Raw genomic sequence first — 22,966 nt, 5'->3', positions numbered from 1 at the left:
AAAAGTCAGACTAGCTTAATTTTCTTAGAGTAGCATTCAGCTTTGAAAAGAGTGGAGCCATGTCTTTAACCTTCTGAGGAAAGTAAGTACCATACTGCCCAACATGCACCATGTGGCCCAAAATCGACACAGCTATGATGTCATTCAGATGCCAAGGCAAGAAGCAACGTTCTCAAACCGGTACAGATTCAGGTAATGGTGCTTAAAACTGAAACACTTATGAAAAATGTATATGCACTGTGATTATGTTTCATAACCTCTTGACTTACAAGGATATTTTAGGAAATACCTCTTATATTAATAATAAAGAAACATGGTTGAAATAGTTTCATTCTGTTAAATTTAAATAAAATCACATACAACTTTTTTAAGTTAAAAAGTAGTTTTACTAGAGGATAATTTTATTTTTTTTCAACGTCTTTCTGGCTATCTGACTTCCTCCCCCATCCTCACAGCCACACTGGGCATGTGCTCTAAGCCCTGATTGTCCCCAACCCCCAGCCCCCAGACATCTGCTGTGTTTGTAGTCAGGGTTGCAGAAATTATGTGCACTTTATGATGTGAGTCAACTCTACAAAATTCTACTCGCTAGTGAAATATATAATTCTCTGTAACATAAATTTTCACAAAAAGATCCTGACATTTCATTCTTGTCTGTTCAGAAAAAAAAAGTGCCACTTAGAAATCACTCCCTATAGAACCAAATAATCAGCACTTACTGAGTGACTACTGTGTGCCTGGTGCAGCTATATTCACCTAACATACTCTGTGAAGACACGCAATTCTTATTCCTAAAGAGATCTTAATTTACGTGGGGCAGACACACTGTCAAACTTTTCCCAGTTTTTTCCAAGTACAATCTAGATCCCAGGTAGACTTTCTAAGAGGGGGAAAAAATAGATTTTTGTTGTTGGTAAGTTTTTGTATCATTTTCGGTTATCTATTCAAGAAAGTTGTTGACTTTTGTAAGGCAGAGTGCTGGGCACTAAGGATGTGGTTGTGATTAAAAGAGCTAGACTCCCTGCTTACTCTCATAAACCATTACGGTGGTTACACGGGCCTTGCGCATTGAGCCGAGTCCTCCTGTGGTCTTCTTCCCACGAGATCTGGGCAGCCCTGCCTGCAATCACCAGAGCCACCGGAAGGGGCAGAAGTGAGTCTGTGAGAGTCCCAGCAAAGGGCATGTGTTTTAAATTCAGATGGATTTCACCTGAATAGATGCCTGGAGGTTGAAGAAAAACATATGGAGCATATCATTTGTAAATGTTGTGAACAGGATGCTTAAAATAAACTGATGCTACGTTTTGACAATTTTAGTCAGTTTGTGGGGTTTTTTTTTAATCCAAATAAGCATGGTTGCCAAAATCTTTGTTTCAATGTAAAATATATGCAAGTATACATATTTTACATTGATTTCTTTGGGACCCTGTGTCTGGAGTTGGGGGAGGGTGGCCCACTCTACTATGTTAAGTATTCCATCTTATCCAAGAGGTATTTCATAAATTATGTATAACAGTAGATGCCACTCAATAAATATTTTATACGTGATAGATATTTTTGTCTGAAATTACTTTTTCGCTTGAGCAATGATTTAAACCCTCGTTTCCAGTTTTATGAGGTGACACTTTTATAATATCATGTAGTTGAATGCAGCTTGAATGTCATAGAGCTTTAGGGCAGCATTAATCATAAATTCATCCTTCCCCACTTGCAATCCTGGAAAACTTTCTCTTAATTCAGATTTTACCCATTATATATATGGAAGTGTATGTGAGTGTGTGTGTGTGTGAGTGTGTGTGTCTCTGTGTGTGTGTGTGTGTGTCTACATGCTGGGGATGGGTGGGAACAAGTAAGACTTTTGACCTAATGGCTTTGAAACTATGAATTTCCAATGCCTTTCAAAATCTTATTTCAAGGAAAAACAAAAGTGTTTCTCAATGGTTAAAAAAAGAAAGAATAGTAAACGAAACTGGGATGTAGTCCAAAGCACTTTCTGTAGTTTGAGTGGGAGCTATTAAAGTTTAAAATATTGCATTTTTGGGGGTGGGGGGTTATTGTCTACTTCTGTACAGAAAGAAAATACACATGCCTGTGGACTTACGAGAATGGTCACTTTCCTTTTCATGTGGACCTAGAGGCCTGTAATAATTCATTGCCATGGGGCTACTGACTGTGTGTGCAGTTTGGTCACAGTTCAGAGCTACCAAACCTTCCCATGAGGACATCATTTTATGAAATAGAGCTGTGTGATTAAATTCTCCCCTGTAATATATGTCTTTAAAAAAATCACATCCCATTTCTGCTTTAATTTCATGGTCAGGAGGAAAAAACATGAATTCTGCTAATATCCGAGAGGTAGGAGTAGGGGTTAGCTTATGGAGAGTGCTCAGTTTAGCTGAGATTTGCATATTCCTTGCTATAGTAAATCAATGTTACTGAAGTCTCCGACCTCAAAGCCTGAGGTTCTGAGCCATGGAATGGGAGGTTGGCTGATAAGAGTGGTAATTGAAGAACAATGACACGCTTCATTTCCTTTTCTTGAAACTAAGTTATGCATTGGTCATTTTCTCTGCGTATCTATTTAATGGTTGTTAAATTAAATTGCTTTCTTTCACATTGTGATTTTTATTTTTATTTTTTTAAGCCATCCTTTTTTTGTTGTTGTTGTTACTTCATTTCACCGCCCTCTCGCATGACTTCAGGTCTTCAGTGTGCATTTGAAATGTAAATATCTGCAGAGGCCTGAGGGACTTCTCTCTCTCCACCTCCCTGCCCCAGAAACCTCCCAGGAGTTCCCTTGTCTACAGGGTTTGAGTTTTGCTTTAATGGTCTTACACTAGCTTGAGAAGTTCTGAATCCATCACCTAGCGAATGGTAGACTTCGTAGGTTGTTTTAATACTTAAATGACACAGAGTACATTTATTGGTTCCAGGATTGTAAGGAATCGTATTTATGTTTAGGGCTGTGTTGGGTGTTGGAGTTACAGAGGTGTGTCTTGGTCACTGCGTCTTGACTATAGGAGTCAGGGAGGGAAGGAGATTCTCCAGGAGCATCTCTGACCAGGATCCCCAGTTAGTGGTTGGAACTGGGTTTTCTGTTGCTCGTACAGTCATGGAGCACAATGTCATGCTCTTGTACATGATTTAGTCTGAACCTGGTTCAGCCCAACCTCAAGACTGCAATTTTTACCTTCAACCTTCTGGAATTTGTCTGCTTTCTACTTCAGACTTCCCCAGAAGCTTGACTTTAGAGGTCTTTTGTCTGGGGTCAGATGGGCCTGATGTCAAGATAAGGCCTACCATTCTCTTCCGGAGGGTTGTCTCTGACCTTCCCTCTGCATTCCACTGAACTCTGTGTGTCTACTCACTCATTCATTCCTCTGGCAAATATTAATTGATGAGTGGGACATGAAATTAGGTGCTGGGTTACATTCTAGCCAGAGGACAGGTAATAAACTTGTGCGTGTGTGTGTGTGTGTGTGTGTGTGTATACGTATACATATAAATGGATAGTATATATATATATGTATATATATATATACACACTAATAGCCATTCCCAAGGAGAGAAATCACCATGAGGAACATTGGTGGTTGCTATTTTGTATGGGGTGATGGGGAGAGTGGCTTTTGAGCAGAGACCTGAAGGAAGGAAGGGGCCATGTTATATATGTGTCTAGGGCAATGTTTCTCAAATGTCTGGAGACATTTTTGGTTGTCAGAACCTCAGATGTGTTGCTAGCATCTATTGGGTAGAGGCAAGGGGTGCTACAAAATATCCTACTGTGCATAAGAATAAAGAATTACCTGGTCTGAAGTGACAACTGTGCCGCAGTCCAGAAACCCTACTGTAGGGGAAGAGAAGGATAGCAGTGACAGAGGAAACAGCAACCACAAAAGCAGTAGGAACCGCAGTGAGTGCATCCCTGAGATGGGGCAGGCTGGCAAGTTTGAAGAGCAGCAAGTTGCCTCTATCCCTGGAGAGGAGTGAGCAAAGGGGAGAGCGGCAGAAGATGAGAGTGAGTGAGCATGGGATGAGATCAGGTAGAATTTGGTAGAACATCACAAAGACTTTGGCTTTTGTCTCACTGAAATGGGAGGCTATTTAAAGGACCTGAGCAGAAGAGTGACCTGCCCTGATGGCCTTCTGGCTGCTGAATTGAGTGTATATCACGGGAGACATGAGTGGTGGCCCAGATTATCACAGTAACCCAGGTGAAAGACAATGATGGTTTGGGCCAGAGGCACGTGCTGCGGGTGGCTTGATGTTACCAGATTCTGGGCATATTTTGAAGGTAGAGTTAATACTACATATGTAGAGTTTAGAGAAAGAAAGGGGCAAAGTGTAAGCATGGTATTTAGACCAAACAGGAAAGGTTGGTATTTACTGAGATGGGATAGTCTGCAGGTTTGGGAGGCAGAGAGAATCAAGGTTTTTTTTGTTTGTTTTGTTTTTTGTTTTTTGTTTTTTTTAATGTGTTAAATTTGTGCTGCCTGTTTGACATCTCCATAGCTAAACTGAGTTGGGTTGGTGTACATATATATATATATATACATACACACACACAGTATACTCATATATGCGGTATACATTTGAGTATGGGACTTAAGGGAGACATCTGCCCTGGAGATGCAATTTGAGAGTCATCAGCATCTAGATGGCAGGTCAAGTCAAGAGACAGAAGGAGACCATCAGGAGAGTCAGTGTCGGTAAAGAAGAGTCCCAAAGACAATAACCTTCATAGAGGGAGTTCAAGAGAGAGTAAGAGGGAAGGAATTGAAGAACTGAAAGTATAGGGAACTTTTTGGAGGTAGTTTTCTCTAAAAGGCACAGAGAAATTGGTGGTAGCTATAAGGAGAGGCAAGGCCAAAAGACGTGGTGGGGTTTGGGGATGGGAGGTGAATAGCAGATTCATATTAATGTATAGCAGGGAATGATCCAGTGGATAGGAGAAGTTGATGGCACAGGAGGCAGAGGACCAGGTTCCTCTGGTGCAAGGTAAGTAATGCACAGGAAGGCTTCTTCTCAGGACCATGCACAGTTCAACCATGGTAAGTAGAGAGAAAAGCCATCAACTAAGGCAACATCTTGATATTAAATGGCATAAAGGCTCTGAAGAGTGAGAAAGTTTACTTTGTAGTTTGGATGTTCCTAGAACCTTTCTGAAGGAAGATTTGCTTTGAAGAGGTTATGTATCAGGCAATGAGTTTAATTCGTTTTATATTTCGCTTTTTATAAGTTCCAAGTTCACTTTGCTTATTACCTGCCAGGATTTCAACACGAAGTTTAAGGTCCATTTTTCTTGCAGTTTTTTAGATGAGAAATAAAATATTGCCCATTCTGACAATCTGAAGAACACCTAATTTGAAGTTCTCTTTTCCCAAAGTAACCTTTTCTTTTTCTTTTCCTCTTAATTTCAGGAACAAACTCTAGCCCTCAGGAAAGAAGGGATTGGAGTTGTTTTGGATTCTGAACTGCCTCATTTGATTGGCATCGATGATGACCTTTTGAGTACTGGAATCATCTTATATCATTTAAAGGTAGAAACTGATTAAGTGGAACATTCTAATTTTGTTTCCAGTTTCTCCATTAGACACTAACTAGGTTTATTATAATATTCTATGGTCATGAACACAACTAAATTAAATTAAAGAATATACAACAAATCCTTGAGCCCTTTGGGAATTTTCAGAAGCTCATTGGGATTCTTTGGTATTTAAAGTTCCCTTGTTATCTAAAGTTAAATGATGAGCCATTGATTTGCCCTCTATTCTGTAGGATTAGTAAGAGGGAGGTAAGGAACAAAAAGGCACACAGACTGAAGGAGAAAAGTTGTAAACAGCTGGGGGGATTTTGTTGTATGTACAGTTTCCTGGTCCCTGGTGGCAATTATAAAATTGTGCTTCTCACCTGCATTATTGGGCTTGGTTCCAAGCAGACAGTTCATCTTGGGAGTACAGAATTCCACATCAGTATTAATGGATGCCCCTGTAACCTTGACTTTAGTGCCCTCTCTCTGACCCATAACTTAACAATGAGAATGCTACTGCATTTGTGTTTTGCAGACTTACATAAACTATATCTTTAGACACAAAGAATCTCTTGGCCACTGGAGAACCTCCCCAGAAAGGATCAGGAACATCAGTGATATTCCTGTCATGAGCAAAGTATTTAACGCTGTCAAAGCAGGGCCTCACCATTGCTGTACATTAAACCTTTCCAGACAACTGGGGCTTTTTTACAGAGCCTTGGGGAGCTCTCGATGCATTGAAGCTGTGGCCTGCCAGGATGTTGTTCATCCCATTGGCCACTATGTTGTTTGGGCTTCAATGAAAAATGAAGAAACAAGCTATTCCTTCTCTTCTTACTAATACATTTTGCTTGGGTTTTCTTCCCAGGAAGGTCAGACATACGTTGGTAGAGACGATGCTTCCACGGAGCAAGATATTGGTGAGCATATTTATCAGTGATCTGTTCCCAATGATTTTTTAAGGTTGTATTCAAGGAAGAACTTTTTCGAATGACTGACATTGAAGTAATTATAGAAAATTAAATTATTTTTCAAGTACAGTGTTGGTCAGTATGTACGTATATATATGTGTGTATATATATTTTTGTAATTTAGAATACAACTCAAATGAATAATGCAGAACAACTAATTTGGTGAATAAAGTGGGCCAATAAACCCTTTCTCCCACCCTACATTCCATTCCTTGTCAGGTCTTTGAGGAACACAGTTACTTAAATCACTCTACATTGTCTCACAATGGAACAATGATTGATGGAAATATACCAACAGACACAGATAAAAGATGTAGGTCTTTTGAAGGAGAGGGTTGTAGGCACTGTCTTCACAAAGATGACAACAGAAAGTAGGAGAAAACACAGCATACACACATGTGGAAGCATGGCTTTTTAGGTTTCCTGAAAGTCTTCACAAGACACGCAAATAATCAGTGACTTAGCCTACACAGATGAGGTCCTTACAGGCTTTAAGAGCATAACTTAGGCAACTGGTGGTGGTGGTGGTGGGTGTGTATATGTGTGTGGCAAGATAGGGATTGGCAGGGGAAGAATTATATTGTCTCAGCTGCTTTTAGAATTGCTGGCAATGAACCTGCTTGCCAAGTGTAAGCTATTAATGGAGCCAATCCTAGTATGTTCCTACATGTATTAGGTTGGTGCAACAGTAATGGCAAAAACCACAGTTACTTTTGCACCAACCTAATATTTACTATTTATTGTGAGACTGAGAGAGATAAAAACCATTTTCTAGAAGTCCCCAGATTCACCTATGTTTGGGTAGAAGTAGGCATCAGGCCTCTTCTTCTAATTGTTAAATTATGTGTTTGATCTTTGGGGTAGCTATAAATGATGGTAAGAACACACGTTTTCTGTGATCAGAGATCAGTAGTGCAATTTTGTAGAGACAGTGGAAACTAGTTGGCTTGTACTCCCAAGACGCTAGCCAAGAACTGTGCCTAAAATCATGTAGGCTTATTTGACAGGTGTTCATATCTGTGTTTGACCATTCTTCAAACAAGAATCTAGGAGAGTTATACATGAATAGATAAACTTTAGCAGCTGCATGCCCTGAGAGGTCTCAGAATTGACACAGGCTCAGGCAACAGGCATCTCAGTATGGCTTCTGAAGGCCTCTTGGGCTTTTCAAGATTCATGTCATGCCAAGTTCACCTTGGGTTTCTGCTCCTGGAGTGCAGTGTCTGTCAGTGCAGAGGTCTCAGTAAGTCCTCGACCCATGGAGCACTTTTGCTTTTATTCTCTGTGGCCTCTGGGTGGCTGATGGAGGAAATTTATTCAGTATCAAACAGGGCAACTCCATGGTATTCAGTTAAAACAAGTTACTCGACTGTTTTCTCCCCAAAGATGAAATGAGTTAACATCCCAGAACTGATTTTCTTACACAGGTAATGTCCAGATCCCTTGAAGAACATTCTAAGGATCTTCCAGTCCTATCATTGAACGTCATGAGCTCCTGAAGTTCGGTTTTCTCACTAAACATAAATGTTCACTTCATGATACTTATGTGGAAAAGGAAGAGTATTCAAAAGGAAAATAAATAAATTTATAGATAAATAGCTGGGAATCATTGCAGTAGAAAAGGGGGAAAAATTCTTTCTACTTTGTTTTTCCACTTTAGTTCTTCATGGCCTTGACTTGGAGAGTGAGCATTGCATCTTTGAAAATATCGGGGGGACAGTGACTCTGATACCCCTGAGTGGGTCCCAGTGCTCTGTGAATGGTGTTCAGATCGTGGAGGCCACACATCTAAATCAAGGTATCTGGTTTTAATTTTCACAGGTCTTTGTATATATTGTTTGAGAAAACAAGTTGGCTAGGCAATGGGGGAACATGTGCATCTTAGAATTAATTATTGATTAGGTATAAAAAGGGTGAGACTGTTTGCTTCAATAGGCTGTTTCTCTTCTGTTTGGCTGGAGGGCTTATTTTATAATACCCATTGTCTTGTTTAATTAAATATGAACATATATAGAATTATCTTAAAAGTTGTTGTTATGGAGATGAGATGTTAAAGGAATTTTTTAATTTAAAAAGTACCCCTCAAATGCAAAACCTTAACACAATGGTTTCTTTTAATAATTTTATTTCTATTATTTATATTCATCTTAATAGATATAATTGTAACATACATAGAGGATTTGGTATCATGTCTATTTTTTGTTTTGAAATAACTTCAATATCATAGACAAGTTGCAAGAATAGTACCAAGAACTTTTAAATTTCAAAATTATTGGAAAGTAAATAGTGCCCTGCCGTCCTTGAATACTTCATTGTGTATTTCCTTTAAACACTGACATCTACATTAGGACACTAACACTGATACATTTCTACCATCGGATCCTCAGACCTCGTTCAAGTCTTGCCATTTGTCCCAGCAGTGTTCTTTGTGGGTCCCATATTTAGTTCTATTTCCTGTATGGCATTTGGTTGTTACCTCTCTCTCTTCTTTTTCAGACTGGAACTTTTCCTTGGCCTTTCCTAGACTTTTATGACTTTGGCAGTTTTGAAAACAGTAGGTCAGATATGTTGTAGAATGTCCCTCTACATAAGTGTAGGATTCACCTGTTGATATGGTTTGGCTCTGTGTCCCCACCCAAAGAGAGACTTTTCTGACTTTGGCAGTTTTGAAAATAGTAGGTCAGATATGTTGTAGAATGTCCCTCTACATAAATGTAGGATTCATCTGTTGATATGTTTTGGCTCTGTGTCCCCACCCAAATCTCATGTTGAATTGTAATTCCCAATATTGGAGGAGGGACCTGGTGGGAGGTGATTGGATCATGTGGGTGGATTTCCCCCTTGCTGTTCTCGTGATAGTGAGTGAGTTCTTGTGAGAGCTGATGATTTAAAAGTGTGTGGCATTTCCCTCCTGCCCCCTCTCCTGTCTCCATGAGAAGACATGCCTTGCTTCCTCTTTGCCTTCTGCCGTGACTGTAAGTTTCCTGAGGCCTCTCAGTCATGCTGCCTGGTAAGCCTGTGGAAGTGGGAGTCAATTAAACCTCTTTTCTCCATAAATTACATAGTCTCAGGTATTCTTTATAGAAGTGTGAGAGTTGACTATGTTCCCTTATGATTAGACTAATATGCATTTTTGGCAAGAATATCAGAGAAATGATGCTGTTTTTCTCATATCTCATTACACGATTTCCATTTGTCCCGTGACTGATGATGTTCACTTTGATCATCCAACTAAGGTGCAGCTGCCAGGCCTCCCCACTGGGGAGTTACTCTTTTCTTCTTTGTTATTAGTAAGTATGTGGGAAAGTACTATGAGATTGAAGGTACTTTGATATTGTAAATTTTCCATTCCATTATGGAATATTACCACTTTCACCCACTGGTTTTAGGAATCCATTCTTTTTTCTTTTTGGCTGAATTAATTATTATTATGATGGTTGCCAAATGGTGATTAAAAAAGAATGCATCATTATTTCTACACTTATTAATTGGATTTTCATTGTAAGAACTTTCTCTTCTTGTCATTTATCTATTTAAAGGGTCACACAGCTTGCGATTTTATTTACTAGGTTTTGGTCTGTTTTTTATCATTATTTATTTCAATATCAAATTGTCCTATATTTTGGCCACTGTGAGTTTCTTCAAGCTGGCTTTCGTGTCCTGTCCTCACTGTTCTGTAAACACTTCGTTACTTTCTGACACAAGATATTCCAGACTCATCTTGTGCTTTCCTCAAACTAACCAATTCTCCAAGGAGCCATGGTTCCTTTTAGTACAGAATGGTATTTAGCAACCAGGTGTGTTCATTGCTACTGGAGTGTCACTGCTTCCATATGCTTTCTGTGAACAGAGCTAGGAAAACGTGTGTGTGTTTGTGTACAACCTTTACAACTGTACTTCTATATCTGTTTATATTGGTATTGTGAAATATCTGTATTTCAGTACCTATATTGCTAACAAGGAGTTTATACCAATACACTAATACTTCTAATCCCAACCCAATACCATAGGGTTAATTGTAGTTTTCTCACTTATTCCTAGCTCCTTTTTCTGACAGTGATGAACCTGGCTTCCATTATGTAACCCATATACTGTTATTCCTGCCCCCTCCTCACACTGGGACCCTCCTCTTCTTGCTCAGACCACAAGCATGGCTATGCTTGGCTGTCATGGCCCTCACCCTTCCACAGTGCAGAAACTTTTCTCAGCCCATGCCATTTGCCTCCACTCTCATGCTGATGCCTACTTTGCTTTTGCCTGCGTAATAGTTTTTGGGCTGAACTATGTAAGAATGAGGGAAAGAAAGACATTGGCATGTTTAAGCCCCTTTTTGTATGTTATACGTAGTCTTTATAATTACAGTTTTTAATGGTTGCACACTGTATAATTGAGTCTGTTGTGACATAGGAATTGGAGAGATGGGGGCTGGAAAGCATGTAGTTTATTCAGGGTTAGCCAAGTTTGTAAGCAGAAGTCAATTGCAGGAAGGTACCTCAGAAATGAAGGAAACATAGCATGGACCAGGGACATTATGCTTTTGGAGGAGGTGCATAATGTCCGTCAAAGACGCTCTAACATCAGCTGCGATGGAGCGCCAACCTGGGTACCCATCCACATCCATCCACCCACCCATTCATCTCTCCATCTGTTTTTTCAATTTTATAAAGGTAAGTTGAGCAGGGGAAATATCTGAGTACCCTGGAGCTGGCCAGGAAGATCAAAGGTCAGCAATTGTAGATGACCAACCCAAAGCAGTGAGCACTCAGTGATCCCTCAGTGATTATTACAAATGCAGCATTTCCTGCTTTTTTGCAGTGGGACAAGGGCTCTAGCAATGTAGAATGGAGGGGCAGGTTATTTCCAGGCAGCAGTATTAGTCATGGTGGGAGGCTGTCTCTGCCTTTAGCCCAGGAAGTGACCATAATTGGTTGGCAGATGAGAGGTCACCATGTAGGGCTCTTCAGTGGCAGTCCCTGCTTGGGAACTCACAGGCTCTAGTGCTGACAGCAGGAGTAATGGGAAGATACACAGTTAAAACACGATTCACTGACAACCCCTTCAGTGAATCCTGTATGGAGTCTAGACTGTAGTCACATCAACTGTCTGTTCTCTGTGGGAACCTCAGATAGAGGTCCTGCTGCTATTCCTCCAGGCAGCAGAGGCTGGTACAGGCTGGTACAGAGTTATGATGACGGACTGTCCTCTTTTCCCAGGGAGAGAGGAACGTACACAGTAGAGATCCATGTACTGGCTGCATCTCCTTCAGTTAGGTCAGAAGGAAGTAACCTTGTTATAATCACTTTGTTTATTGTTACAGGATTTTTACAAGAGGCTTGTACTGGTTTTCAAAATCATTATTAATACATGAGTAGAACAAGGTCACTATTGCCTCCCAGAATCGTGGGAAGTAAAACATGTGTTTTCCCCTGATTGAGTGTACACACCATATAACATAACTCCTTGTAAGTGCTTTCTCATATTTGATTTAGTTATTGTGTCACTCTTGTAGTATTTTCTATTTAAATGTAATTTTGTTACTTTTAAAATGAACTTTTCATGTGCTTTAATCTGTTGTTCTTTGTGTTTTCTTTGGTAATTTTAAACTCTGCCACAGAACTAGTCAACATTTGTTTTTATTTTCCTTGTGATTAATTATTTTATTTTTCAGGATTTTTTTGAAATATTTGTTTAATACACCTGGGTTCATTGGTTTATAAAGTGTAGCTCCAACTTTTTTCTTCCTCATATTGGTATGCCATTTATTATAACCTTTCCCTGCTTATACCCACCTCCCTTTTGAAGAAACTTGCTTTACCTAAAATGAAAACACATACAGCATTATATCTATTTCTTGGCCCTCCTGTTGTTCCAGTACTCCATGTTTTCACTTTTGAAGCAGTATCACACAGTTTTGATGTTTATTATTTTATAATATGTTTTAATCTCTATTTTCATTGGAGTGTCTTTTTACTATGTGTGCTTATTAACTTTTTAAAGAAATTTTTTCTTTAAATATTAGGATAGTTTTGTTGTGCTAAAATGTAATTTGAGGAGTTAGATTCTAATTTTGTTTGATTTGTTTGCATTTGGAAAAATATGTTTCCATCTTGGAACTTCTTATGCAATATCCCTCTTGTGTTTGAATTATCATCTATTTCTTTCAGTAAAACTTTGAAAGTTTTTAATGTATACATTTGTTGAACTGTGTTCATTTATGTATACAAATTCCAAACACATTATAGTTGTATAGAACTGAGATTACTTTGGGGGAATTATTTAGTATAAGTAGTTCTTAAATCACAAATAGCCCCCAAACATCCATACTGGCTGCTGGATCCACCTGGCTTTGTTGCCCCCCACCTTTGAACTATTTTGGAATAGTTCTCTGCCACAGTCACTCTTCTCTGGAGCTCCTGGAGCTCCCACCACCCATAGCCCTGGCCACTTGATGCTGAGTAGATTACATTGACCAGCAATGTTCCTGCCGTGTTATAGGTAAAATAGTCTCTTGTGGATTTGCTGAGAAGCTAGCATGTAATGCTTTTTCTGTGAGAAAATCAGTACTGAATTCCAAACACCAAAAAGACAAAAGGAACTTTTAGAGCACACACACGGACACTGTCTAGAACTTAAAATTTAATTTTGGGGTTATCCTTCTACCTTCCCCACCGCCTTAAGGAAAGCTTATTTGCTTATTTAGTTAGTTAGAAGAAATTGTTTATATAGCGATGATTACCTCTCTAATTGTCTTGTGAATTGAGGCATGGTATATAAATAATGTATCTCCCACGCAGTATTTTTATTAAGTGGTTTTTGATCTTAAACTTTTACCTAAACTGAGAGTTCATTTAAATAATATGCCTATTCTGGTTAATGATTCAGGTTAGGAACCAAATTTTTTATCTTCATATTGAAGATACGACTTTTCCTCGGACAGTACTGGTACTAATTGGCATTGAAGGTTAATTGTCGGAATTGTCTTTCCCTGCGGGATGCTCTTAATTGTTTTATTAGCATGGTGCCATGATCTTCAGATCTGATGGGCTTGAGTTCCTCTGGCATTCTGCTGTGCTACTGAACAGCTTTCTCAGTATCACTGTTAATGAAATTAACATAAAAATACTATGTTTGAAGGTGTTAAAACGCTGTGCAGTGAATGTAAATGTCATTAGCATGTCTTAGGGCAGTAAAATGCGAGATGACTTTGTTTCAATGCATTGTACAAAAAAGCAAGGTGATAACTTTTCTTTTAATTACACATACTTTAAGACCAAAAGATCTCATTAAAGAAAAAAAGTCTATAGTCCTTCAGAAATTAAGGATTAGAATTCTTTACTTAACTTTTCGTGATGTTTGTGGATTATTAAAATGGGAAATGGAACATGTTTTTAAAACACAAAATGATGTGATGTAGTGTTTCTGGTTATGAAAATATGTAGTAAAAATAAAAGAGTCATGAATGAGACAGATACATTCTTATATCAGAATAGTGTTTACCCACTGGAGAAGAAGGAGGGGGTTATATCAGGTGGAGCTACAAAAGGATTTTCAACTGTATCTGTAAGAAAACAAAAAGCTAAAGGAAAAAAACAGCATATGAACGTCATTAAAATATAATAAATGGGGAACAGCATTAAATATAGTAGCATTTTTATTCTTTGAAATCTGTCTTGGCTTTTACCCATAAAACAGTTTTTAAGTAAATTTTTTAGCACACTTCTGCATAGTTCTGCCTTCACTTAGTTAATTTCTACAAAGTCAAATTTGAATTAACAGATGACAGCCAAGTCTCTTGGAAATGGGTCTTAGGTAGCTATATGCTTACCATATTGGATCAGCCCTTCATCCCCTAGCCCTCACCCATGACCCCTGTCCAAAAATAATTACAGCAGACCATTCATTATCATTCGTGCTCGAATTCATGCATTATTTCTCTGAAACTTAAATAATTATAACTTAATGTGTGTGCTATTTCATCTCGTTAGCTCTCTAAGCCAGGTTAGGTCATACCTGCAGCCCTAGGATCCTAAAGTCCAGGTAATCCTGGTTTCCCACATTTACTGTCCTCATCCCAGTTTCTGGTTAATTGGAGTGGTTATTGGCCTAGGACCCTTCCTGACTCATTGTGTCTTGGTCCTCAGAATGGACCTCACTGTATTTGGCCCATTGATTAGATCAAAAAACAAACAAACAAACAAACAAACCTTTTGAGGCAGACCCAAGCAGCATTTTCCTTTTATAGAAGTAAAAGATGTCAAGAAGAGAGACTGCGGCTGCGTGGTAACTCAAGTCACAATGATTCCTAGCCATATTAACTCCACAATTGACTGGATTCCTGGTCCACCTTACACTACCAGCAGCTTCCTACCTTTCCACCACCCCTTTCCAGTTTATTGCTGATATTTGGTATTCAGATGTCTCTTTTCATTAGTAAATTTCTGTTCATTTGTAAATGTGTTATTTAGGCTGTCCCATTAAAAAACACTGGTAGTAATTACCACTTCCTTATCTAAATTACTTACCATATATGTGAATGCCAACTAATCGGAGATTTATCTAAATTTAGCAGATTGTCAACATTGAGGGCAAATTCTATTTCTGTATCAGTTAACTGCCTCACTTATGTCAGATTGCATAAACTGTTTCCCCACCTTAAACCATAGGAAATATTTTCATCTGTTAGTGTCTTCACTCAAAAGAAAAGGCTTTGCTGCTACTGTGAGCATTAATTGTGATGACATATATAAAGTTTGTTGCCTGAAGTTTTTCTCCTCTTTTTTTAGTTCTTCCAGAAATAGTGATGGGATATGTAACATTATATCTAACATGCTCTTCAATTGGTGTATTCTCCAAAGCTTAGTTCTCCTCATTCCACACTGTGATTCTATAGGATGATTCCAAAGAAAGAAGAGCCAGTTCTTCAAGAAAGTGTGAATTTTACCAAGAAGAAAATGTGAATTTGATCATAATACTAGTCCATAAAACTTGAGCTCCTCTTGGTAGTGGCTTAGACCTTAGATTTTTTTCTTTTTTCTGTTTTATATACTTAATATGAAATGATACAACAGTCAGATGCATTGTAATTGAAACAGTATTTCAGCATTTGTCCTATAACTTCTAGGAGCTATTCTCTCTTATTTTAATTATTATTTTTTCTTTTGACTGTAATATGTTATTTTAAAGCTGATAGTTGTTAAATGCAATTAATTTTTCCATTCACATAAGTGGACTCCTTTGGTCTTACTTGTTTGTCAGATCCATTGACTATTCATCTCTTCTTTTAGAAGTGCTACAGAATTGGCATCTGGGAAATTTATACTTGGGCACATTTGAATGTGTTATGCTTGAGTGCCAAAATATATTTTCATCTATTCAAGTACTCAGAGGGAACAGATGATTGTCTGCAGAGTGGAGCTGAGGAGACTTTGATAAAATTTTCATCTGCTGGAGGGCTGCTGTGAGTTGTTCGCTGACAAATTAAAAAAGAATTTTAGTGGAACTAGAAAGGGAAATAGATCTCCCAGTGGTTTAGCCAAGGTATCCCGTTAACAGAGGAGGCCTTTTATGTGTCAGCAGGTATCAGTGTCTGTTCCTTCACTGACTCACCTGCACTTGACCCTAAGCATTCATCATATGTCTTCCTCAGATTAGAGACCTGCAAATATGACATCTGTCACTTGTATATGGGCTGATTCAACAACTATTTTTCAATGTCAAAGCCCTAACTCTTCTTAACAGACTATACCTAAAGCTAGTGGTCCTCAAAGTATGTCATCAACATCAGCATTACCTGAGAACTTGTTAGATATGCAAATTCCCAGGCTCCACCTAGACCTACTGAACCAGCAAATCTAGGGATCAGGCCCTGCAGTCGGGTTTTTTATGTCTGTGATTCTGATGCACATGTCAACTGAAGAATGACAAGGTTTGTAAATTTGGAAAGGAGAGCTTTATTTTTTATAAGGCCTGCAGGGTGGCCATTCTGACAGGCTGGGAAGTGTAGCCTCCAGCTGGAAGCCAGAAGCAGACACATTGAGGGAGGGGGAAAGGGAACAGGAATTTATGCTGAGCTGGGTGGCTGAATGTGCATGTTTAATAAGCTATAGGAGAAGTCATGAATATTTATGAGTGGAGAAACATGAGCATGCACAGTTGAGCTTATGCCTCTACATGAGTTGCGTGAACAAAAACTGGCAGGGTTAGCATGATGCAAGGATAGAGTTTTTGGTCCTCTGATGTCAAGAGTTGAAGCAGAGGACATGGAAACATTCACTGTGCACCCTGTAGATTGGCCAGAACCACTCCATGGTCGATGGTTTCTTATCAGGAGGCAATGCTGGTCCATTGTGTGGAAACCACAGAAGGTAGGGGCAGTGACAGTTGGTTGAAGTCAGCAGTGAAACAAGTCTTTCCAATGGGCTGGTTTCTGTTGAACCTTGAGGAATGAAAGCCGTGGCAGTTAGCAAAGGAGGGAGTATAAGAAAGCATGTCCTACCTCCTATCGTGTCATGTCCAGGAACTCGATTTCCAAGGTTTCTGTGGGGTCCCCATGGCCAAGAGGGGGTCTGTTCAGTCAGTTTGATGGCTTAGAATTTGACTTCTCATGTGTTTGAATATGAGAACAAGTGGCCAAAGCTAATTATACTGGAGTTAGTTTCTTGGTGCACCAGACTTCTGGACATGAGACATATATTTGTCATTCTGTTTAACCCCTTTTTTTCTCTTTTTTTCACTCATCACATCTATTTTTCTTGATCTCTCTTCTCCTTTTAAAACTTCATTTTCAGCTTTACATTCAGTACATTGGCTTTACAATATGCCTTGGCATGGATTTCTCGGGGTTAACCTGTTTGGGTTTTGCCGAGCTTCTCAAATTCATAGGCTGTTGTCTTCCTCTGGATTTGGGAAGTTTTCAACCATTATTTGTTAATTTTTTTTTCCCCCGCACTATACTCTTTCCCCTCTCCTTCTGCGACTACAATTACACAAAAGTTAGATATTTTACTATTGTCTCACAGTTCCTTGAGGCTCTGTTTACCTATTTTTATTTTTTGATAAATTCTTTTTTCTTTGCTTTTCAGATTGGATCATTTCAGTTGACCTGTGTTTAAGTTCACTGACTTTTTTTGTCATCTCCATTCTGCCTTTGAGCCTACCAATGAGTTTTTTATTTTGAATATTTTGTTTTTCACTTGTAATATTGGATTCTTCTTTATATCTTATCTTTGTTGAAATTTTTATTTTTCCACTTATTTCAAGAGTATTGAAACATTTATTGGAGCTTTTTGTTATCTCAGTATAAACATTTGTTGATTGTTTTTTGCAATGCATGTTGGGATTTTCCTGGTTCTTTCTGTGCTGAGGAATAATATTGGATTGTGTCATAGACATTTTGGATATTATGAGATCCTGGGTCTTGTTTAAATCCTATGGGAAATGTTTATACCCTTTGTTTCAGCAGACAGTTTACCTAGCTGGATGTAGGCCATAAGTTACCATCAGCTTTTGCAGATCGTGTCTGCCGTTCCACTGCTGCTTCAGTGTTCAGATCCTTTGCAGTGCTCCTCCAGTAGCAGTGGGTGTACTACCCGTTGGCCAGGCTGGGACCTGTGCAGTGGTCTGTCGCTTAGTTCAGTTCTCAAAGTCTTAGCATTCTTCTGAGGATCAGATCCACGTGTACACACATAGGGGTGAGCCCAGGAGTTAATAAACAACTCTGTGAGGTTGCTTTCCTGCATATTTCCCTCTTCATCTCTCCTGCACTTTCTGCCTCCCTCGGGTCTTCCCTTCCCTGGAAATCTTGAGCTTTATTTATTCTACTCTTTCATATGCCTGTCTCCGTGTCTACGGCCAAGAAATGAGAGGACAGGGAAGGAATAAAGCAACAGGGATCTGCCCCACCTTCTTGGGGGACTACAGCTCCTCTGATGGGAAAGAAAGATTCCCTTTCCTCATGGGCCCACTGTTGCTGCTAAGGGACTCTCTGCTCCTCCTCCAACCTGAACTAGGGGGCTTCTCCTGGAGTTCTCTCTTTTGCACTTGTCCACTTTTGGCTTTCTTCCTAGACCAAGCTGGGAAGCACTGCAGGCAAAAAATGGTAAATTCACTGTTAGTTCAGTGGTGCTTCCAATCTTGGTTTTCTTCAATCCACCTGCTACTCTGTTTTTTTTTTTTTTAAAGTTCTGGGGTACATATGCAGGATGTGCAGGTTTGTTACATATGTAAACGTGTGCCATGGTGGTTTGCTGCACCTATCAACCCATCACCTAGGTATTAATGGCATGCATTAGCTATTTTTCCTGATGGTCTCCGCACCCCACCCTCCCACAACAGGCCCCAGTGTGTGGTGTTCCCCTCCCTGTGTCCATGTGTTCTCATTGTTCAGCTCCCACTTACAAGTGAGAACATGTGGTGTTTGGTTTTCTGTTCCTGTGTTAGTTTGCTGAGAATAATGGCTCAGAGAACTGGCTAGCCATATGCAGAAAATTGAAACTGGACCCCTTCCTTACACCTTATACAAAAATTAACTCAAGATGGATTAAAGACTTAAATGTAAAACCCAAACTATAAAACCCTTAGAAGAAAGTGTAGGCAATACCATTCAGGACATAGGCATGGGCAAAGATTTTTATGAAGAAATTGCCAAAAGCAGTTGCAACAAAAGCAAAAATTGACAAGTGAGATCTAATTAAACTAAAGAGCTTCTGCACAGCAAAAGAAAATATAATCAGAGCAAACAGACAACCTACAGAATGGGAGAAAATTTTGGTAATCTATTCATCTGACAAAGGTCTAATGTCCAGAATCTACAAGGAACTTAAGCAAATTTACAAGAAAAAATAAACATTAAAAAGTGAGCAAAGGACATGAATAAACACTTCTCAAAAGAAGACATACATGTAGTCAAGAAACATATGAATAAAAGCCTAATATCACTGGTTATTAGAGAACTGCAACAGCTACTCTTTACTTCCCAAGGCCCTCAAATAACTACTACATGCATTTTGTTCAGGCTATAGCTACATTCCTTAGGAGAAACAGGGTGGAGTGTGCTTGTTTCAGCTTATGCAGAACCAAAACTCCTCCCAGAGGGTGGTTTAGACTGCTGAAAAGGGGGAATGTACCCAAAGTTGAATTCTGAAGTGAATGTATTTGTCTTAATGGCATATAGTGAAAAAGTGACTTAGATGCTCTTCAGCCAAAGTGTGTAGTGAAGAAATGTCTAAGACTGGAAAGGGGATGGAGGGAGGAGAAGGAGTAGTGAGATCAACGCTGTTGAGTCTGAGTCATGGGCAGGTCTGTAGGGCTCTTAAGTTCTAGATCAGTTGCATGAATTTTCTGTGGAAAGCAGAAGGAAGTCTGTGCTGACCACTCAGTAGATGGGTAATGTGGGCTGAGAGGTGAAGATGATGCAGCTTTTGTTTAGCTCAAAGGGAGGCTGATAGAAGAGCCGTGAGGAAAAGGGGTTGAAGGTAAAAGACTTTGGGAGCTGAAGGAAGGGAGGCATTGTGCAAGAACTATTTCGGAAGGAACAATAGGATATTGACACTGTGGAGTGCGTATGAGCCTAGAAATAAATAATTGAGATGATTACTAATAGTGAATAAGAAGTTGGTAGCAAAGAATGTGGACTACTGGGCAAGAATGGAAAGAAAGTTACTAATAGCTTGACCAATTGTGTAATGCTTTCCCTTCAGTACTTTGGAATTTATCATGTGACTATACACTGTCTTGAATTGCCCTCTAATCATTTCCTGTGCTTTCTACATTTTCCTGCAGAAGGACAGACCTATTCCATATACAGATATTCCTTGAATTACAATGAGGCTGTGTCCTGATAAATCCATTGTAAACTGAAAATATCCTAAGTTGAAGATGCATTTAATACACCTAACCTATTGAGCATCACAGCTTAGTCTATCCTACCTTAAATATGCTCAGAACACTGGGCAAAATCATCTAACGCAAAGCCTAGTTTATAATCAAGTGTTGAATATTTCATGTAATTTGTTGAATACTGTACTGAATGTGTATCACTCTTGCACCATCATAAAGTTGAAGAATTGTAAGTAGAACCGTCTTAAGTTGGGGATGTCTGTGCTCTTTTTGTTTCTCGCATGAGGTGTTAAGAAAAATATCAGCTCCCACTTACCACCCCCTCTCCCTGCTCCGACACACACATCTAAAAATGTCTTTGGGTATGGGACTGGAGCATCTCGAAATTTTACAAAGCTTCAAACTCAGTTTGTGCACACAGTTGGGCAAATCATTCTTGATGGATAATTTGGCTGGAAACTTCAGTAGCCAAGATTGAAAATCAATTTTCTTTCTTCTACAGAGTCCCAGAATCTAAGTTTCCAATTTTTACTTTACTAAGGGTAAACAGAGGTTGAAGTGATTTATCTAAAGCAGGAAATTGTAAATCCATATTTGAATTGTAAACATTGAAAAAGAAGGGACAAGGTCAACGTAGCTTTTTGATAAGGTATCATTTCATGTTTATTCTTCAGAATTACTAACTGATGATCTGATGGCATGATGTGATACTGATGCCTGCTGCCTTTGTTGCAGAGTGCCTGTCATTCATTCGCAAGCCAGCCATTAACACCAAGCCATATGTCCTGCTTGAATTTGTTTAGTATTTATGTGAAATTTTCTTACCCACCACAGACACCATGTTCCATCTTCATCTTTTCCTATCTAGCTTCCTAAAGCCATTTTTGATATAGAGAAAAAGTACTATAATTCTCGTGTTTGAAATAATAAAATCTGTGTCACCAAGTCTAAGGCCCTAGAACATATTACTTAATCTGTTCTTAAGTATTGGCATGTATTAGTGGAAATTAGATGTTTTCTTATCAGTTTCCCTAAATGGTATCATCATCATAACTTATTTTAATATAAATAAATATCTTTAAGATATTTTAAATCAGAAGGAAAATGTCACACACAAGCAAGTTTCTTTTTGCTTCAATCAGGCAATGAAATAAGAACTTTACCTGCCCTACCTCAGTTCAGCCTCTCACTCAATACCATTTCAGAAAATTGTATGTTCCTGACAGAGTTTGGTTTCTCCACCTGTCACATCTAAAATGATAACCTTTCTTCCACTGAGCTTGCTTTCACAGTGCATTGCATCCTATGTGTGTGTGTTGGTTGGTGGAGGGCGGGGGGTATGTTTTGGTTGGTGGGGGGCAGGGGGTGTTTCTAAAGTAAAATGTAGAACTAGGAGTCTCGAAACAGAATTACAAAGGGCCTCTCATTTTTATTGACACCACAGCCTCTAAAGTGTGAACCACACACTTGTGGGAACACAGTTGTCTCATATGTTTGTAGTATTTGTAACCCAAAATGAAATAATTGGTACATTATTACCTCAGAAATATTCATATGAAAACAGTAGGAGAAAAAATGAGTTGTTTTATTTGTGCAGTAGCAGAATTAGAAAATCTCATAAAACTTGAAGAGGGTAATTATTGGTGATATTAATGATTATTGTCCCTGCATTCCTTAGGAATCACTAGAAACGTTTGCAGATTTACTTCTGTCAGCTTACTTGAAATATTAGAATAGAGAGTCTCATGTGAAACCAGCAATGTCTTTGTCTATGCTTTCACAATGTCATGTCCCCTCCATCCCCTCTGAAGACTCTCTGGAATTTGTCTGTCTTTGGGTATTTAGCAAACTCTGAATTAATCTCAAAGAAGTCATTATTTCAAGGAGGTTTAGAAATGCTTGCAAAATTACAAATTAAGTGCATCACATAAAGTCCATCTGCTGCTGTTAATCACACTGACCTCAGACCAAATGGTTCATGGTTGACAAGAATTTAAGATCTGGAAGGAATCTTAGAAATTGTCCAGTTTGATAACTAGATGAGGAAACTGAATTCTGGAGAGATTAAGCACTGACTTGTCCTTAACCACACCGAGATTTCTGGGAAGCACACACTCTTCAGGTTTCATCAAGAAACTACATTATCAGCCATTCTCATTCATTAGTTCTTTTATTCATTTATTCCTCTTTATGCCCTTCAGTTTGCTTATTGCATTTTAAGTATACATATAAGTTTTAACAAAAAATAAAATATCCTGCAGGATCTATCTGATATGGTTTGGCCGTGTCCCCACCCAAATTTCATCTGGAATTGTAGTTCCCATAATCCCCACATGTCATGGGAGGGAACTGGTGGGAGATAGTTGAATCATGGGGGTGGTTACCCCCATTCTGCTGTTCTTGTGATGGTGAGTTCTCACGAGATCTGATGGTATTATAAGGGGCTTTCCCCATTTTTATGCGGCACTTCTTGCTGCCATGTAAAGAGGACATGTTTGCTTCCCCTTCCACCTTGATTATTAAGTTTTCTGAGGTCTCTTCAGCTATGCTGAACTGTGAGTCAGTTACATCTCTTTACTTTATAAATTACCCAGTCTTGGGTATATCTTTATTGGCAGTATGAGAATGG

The 22,966-nt window shown here is 39.0% G+C and overlaps 1 protein-coding gene across 17 annotated transcripts in view; it reads left to right on the top strand.

Annotated features, from left to right (window-relative positions):
* KIF16B (kinesin family member 16B) overlaps nt 1–22,966 on the top strand; it is a 301,345-nt gene that overhangs the window by 138,046 nt on the left and 140,333 nt on the right. For all 17 annotated transcript variants that reach the window (XM_047440266.1, XM_047440264.1, NM_001199865.2 and 14 more), the window contains exons 13-15: nt 5,421–5,540; nt 6,399–6,450; nt 8,162–8,299. In XM_047440266.1, coding sequence (XP_047296222.1) covers nt 5,421–5,540; nt 6,399–6,450; nt 8,162–8,299 — 310 coding nt within the window. The remainder of the gene's footprint in view (nt 1–5,420; nt 5,541–6,398; nt 6,451–8,161; nt 8,300–22,966) is intronic.

This window comes from Homo sapiens, chromosome 20, assembly GCF_000001405.40.
Source record: "Homo sapiens chromosome 20, GRCh38.p14 Primary Assembly".
NCBI classification, from domain to species: domain Eukaryota; kingdom Metazoa; phylum Chordata; class Mammalia; order Primates; family Hominidae; genus Homo; species Homo sapiens.
This window is presented reverse-complemented; position numbering and strand designations above follow the sequence as displayed.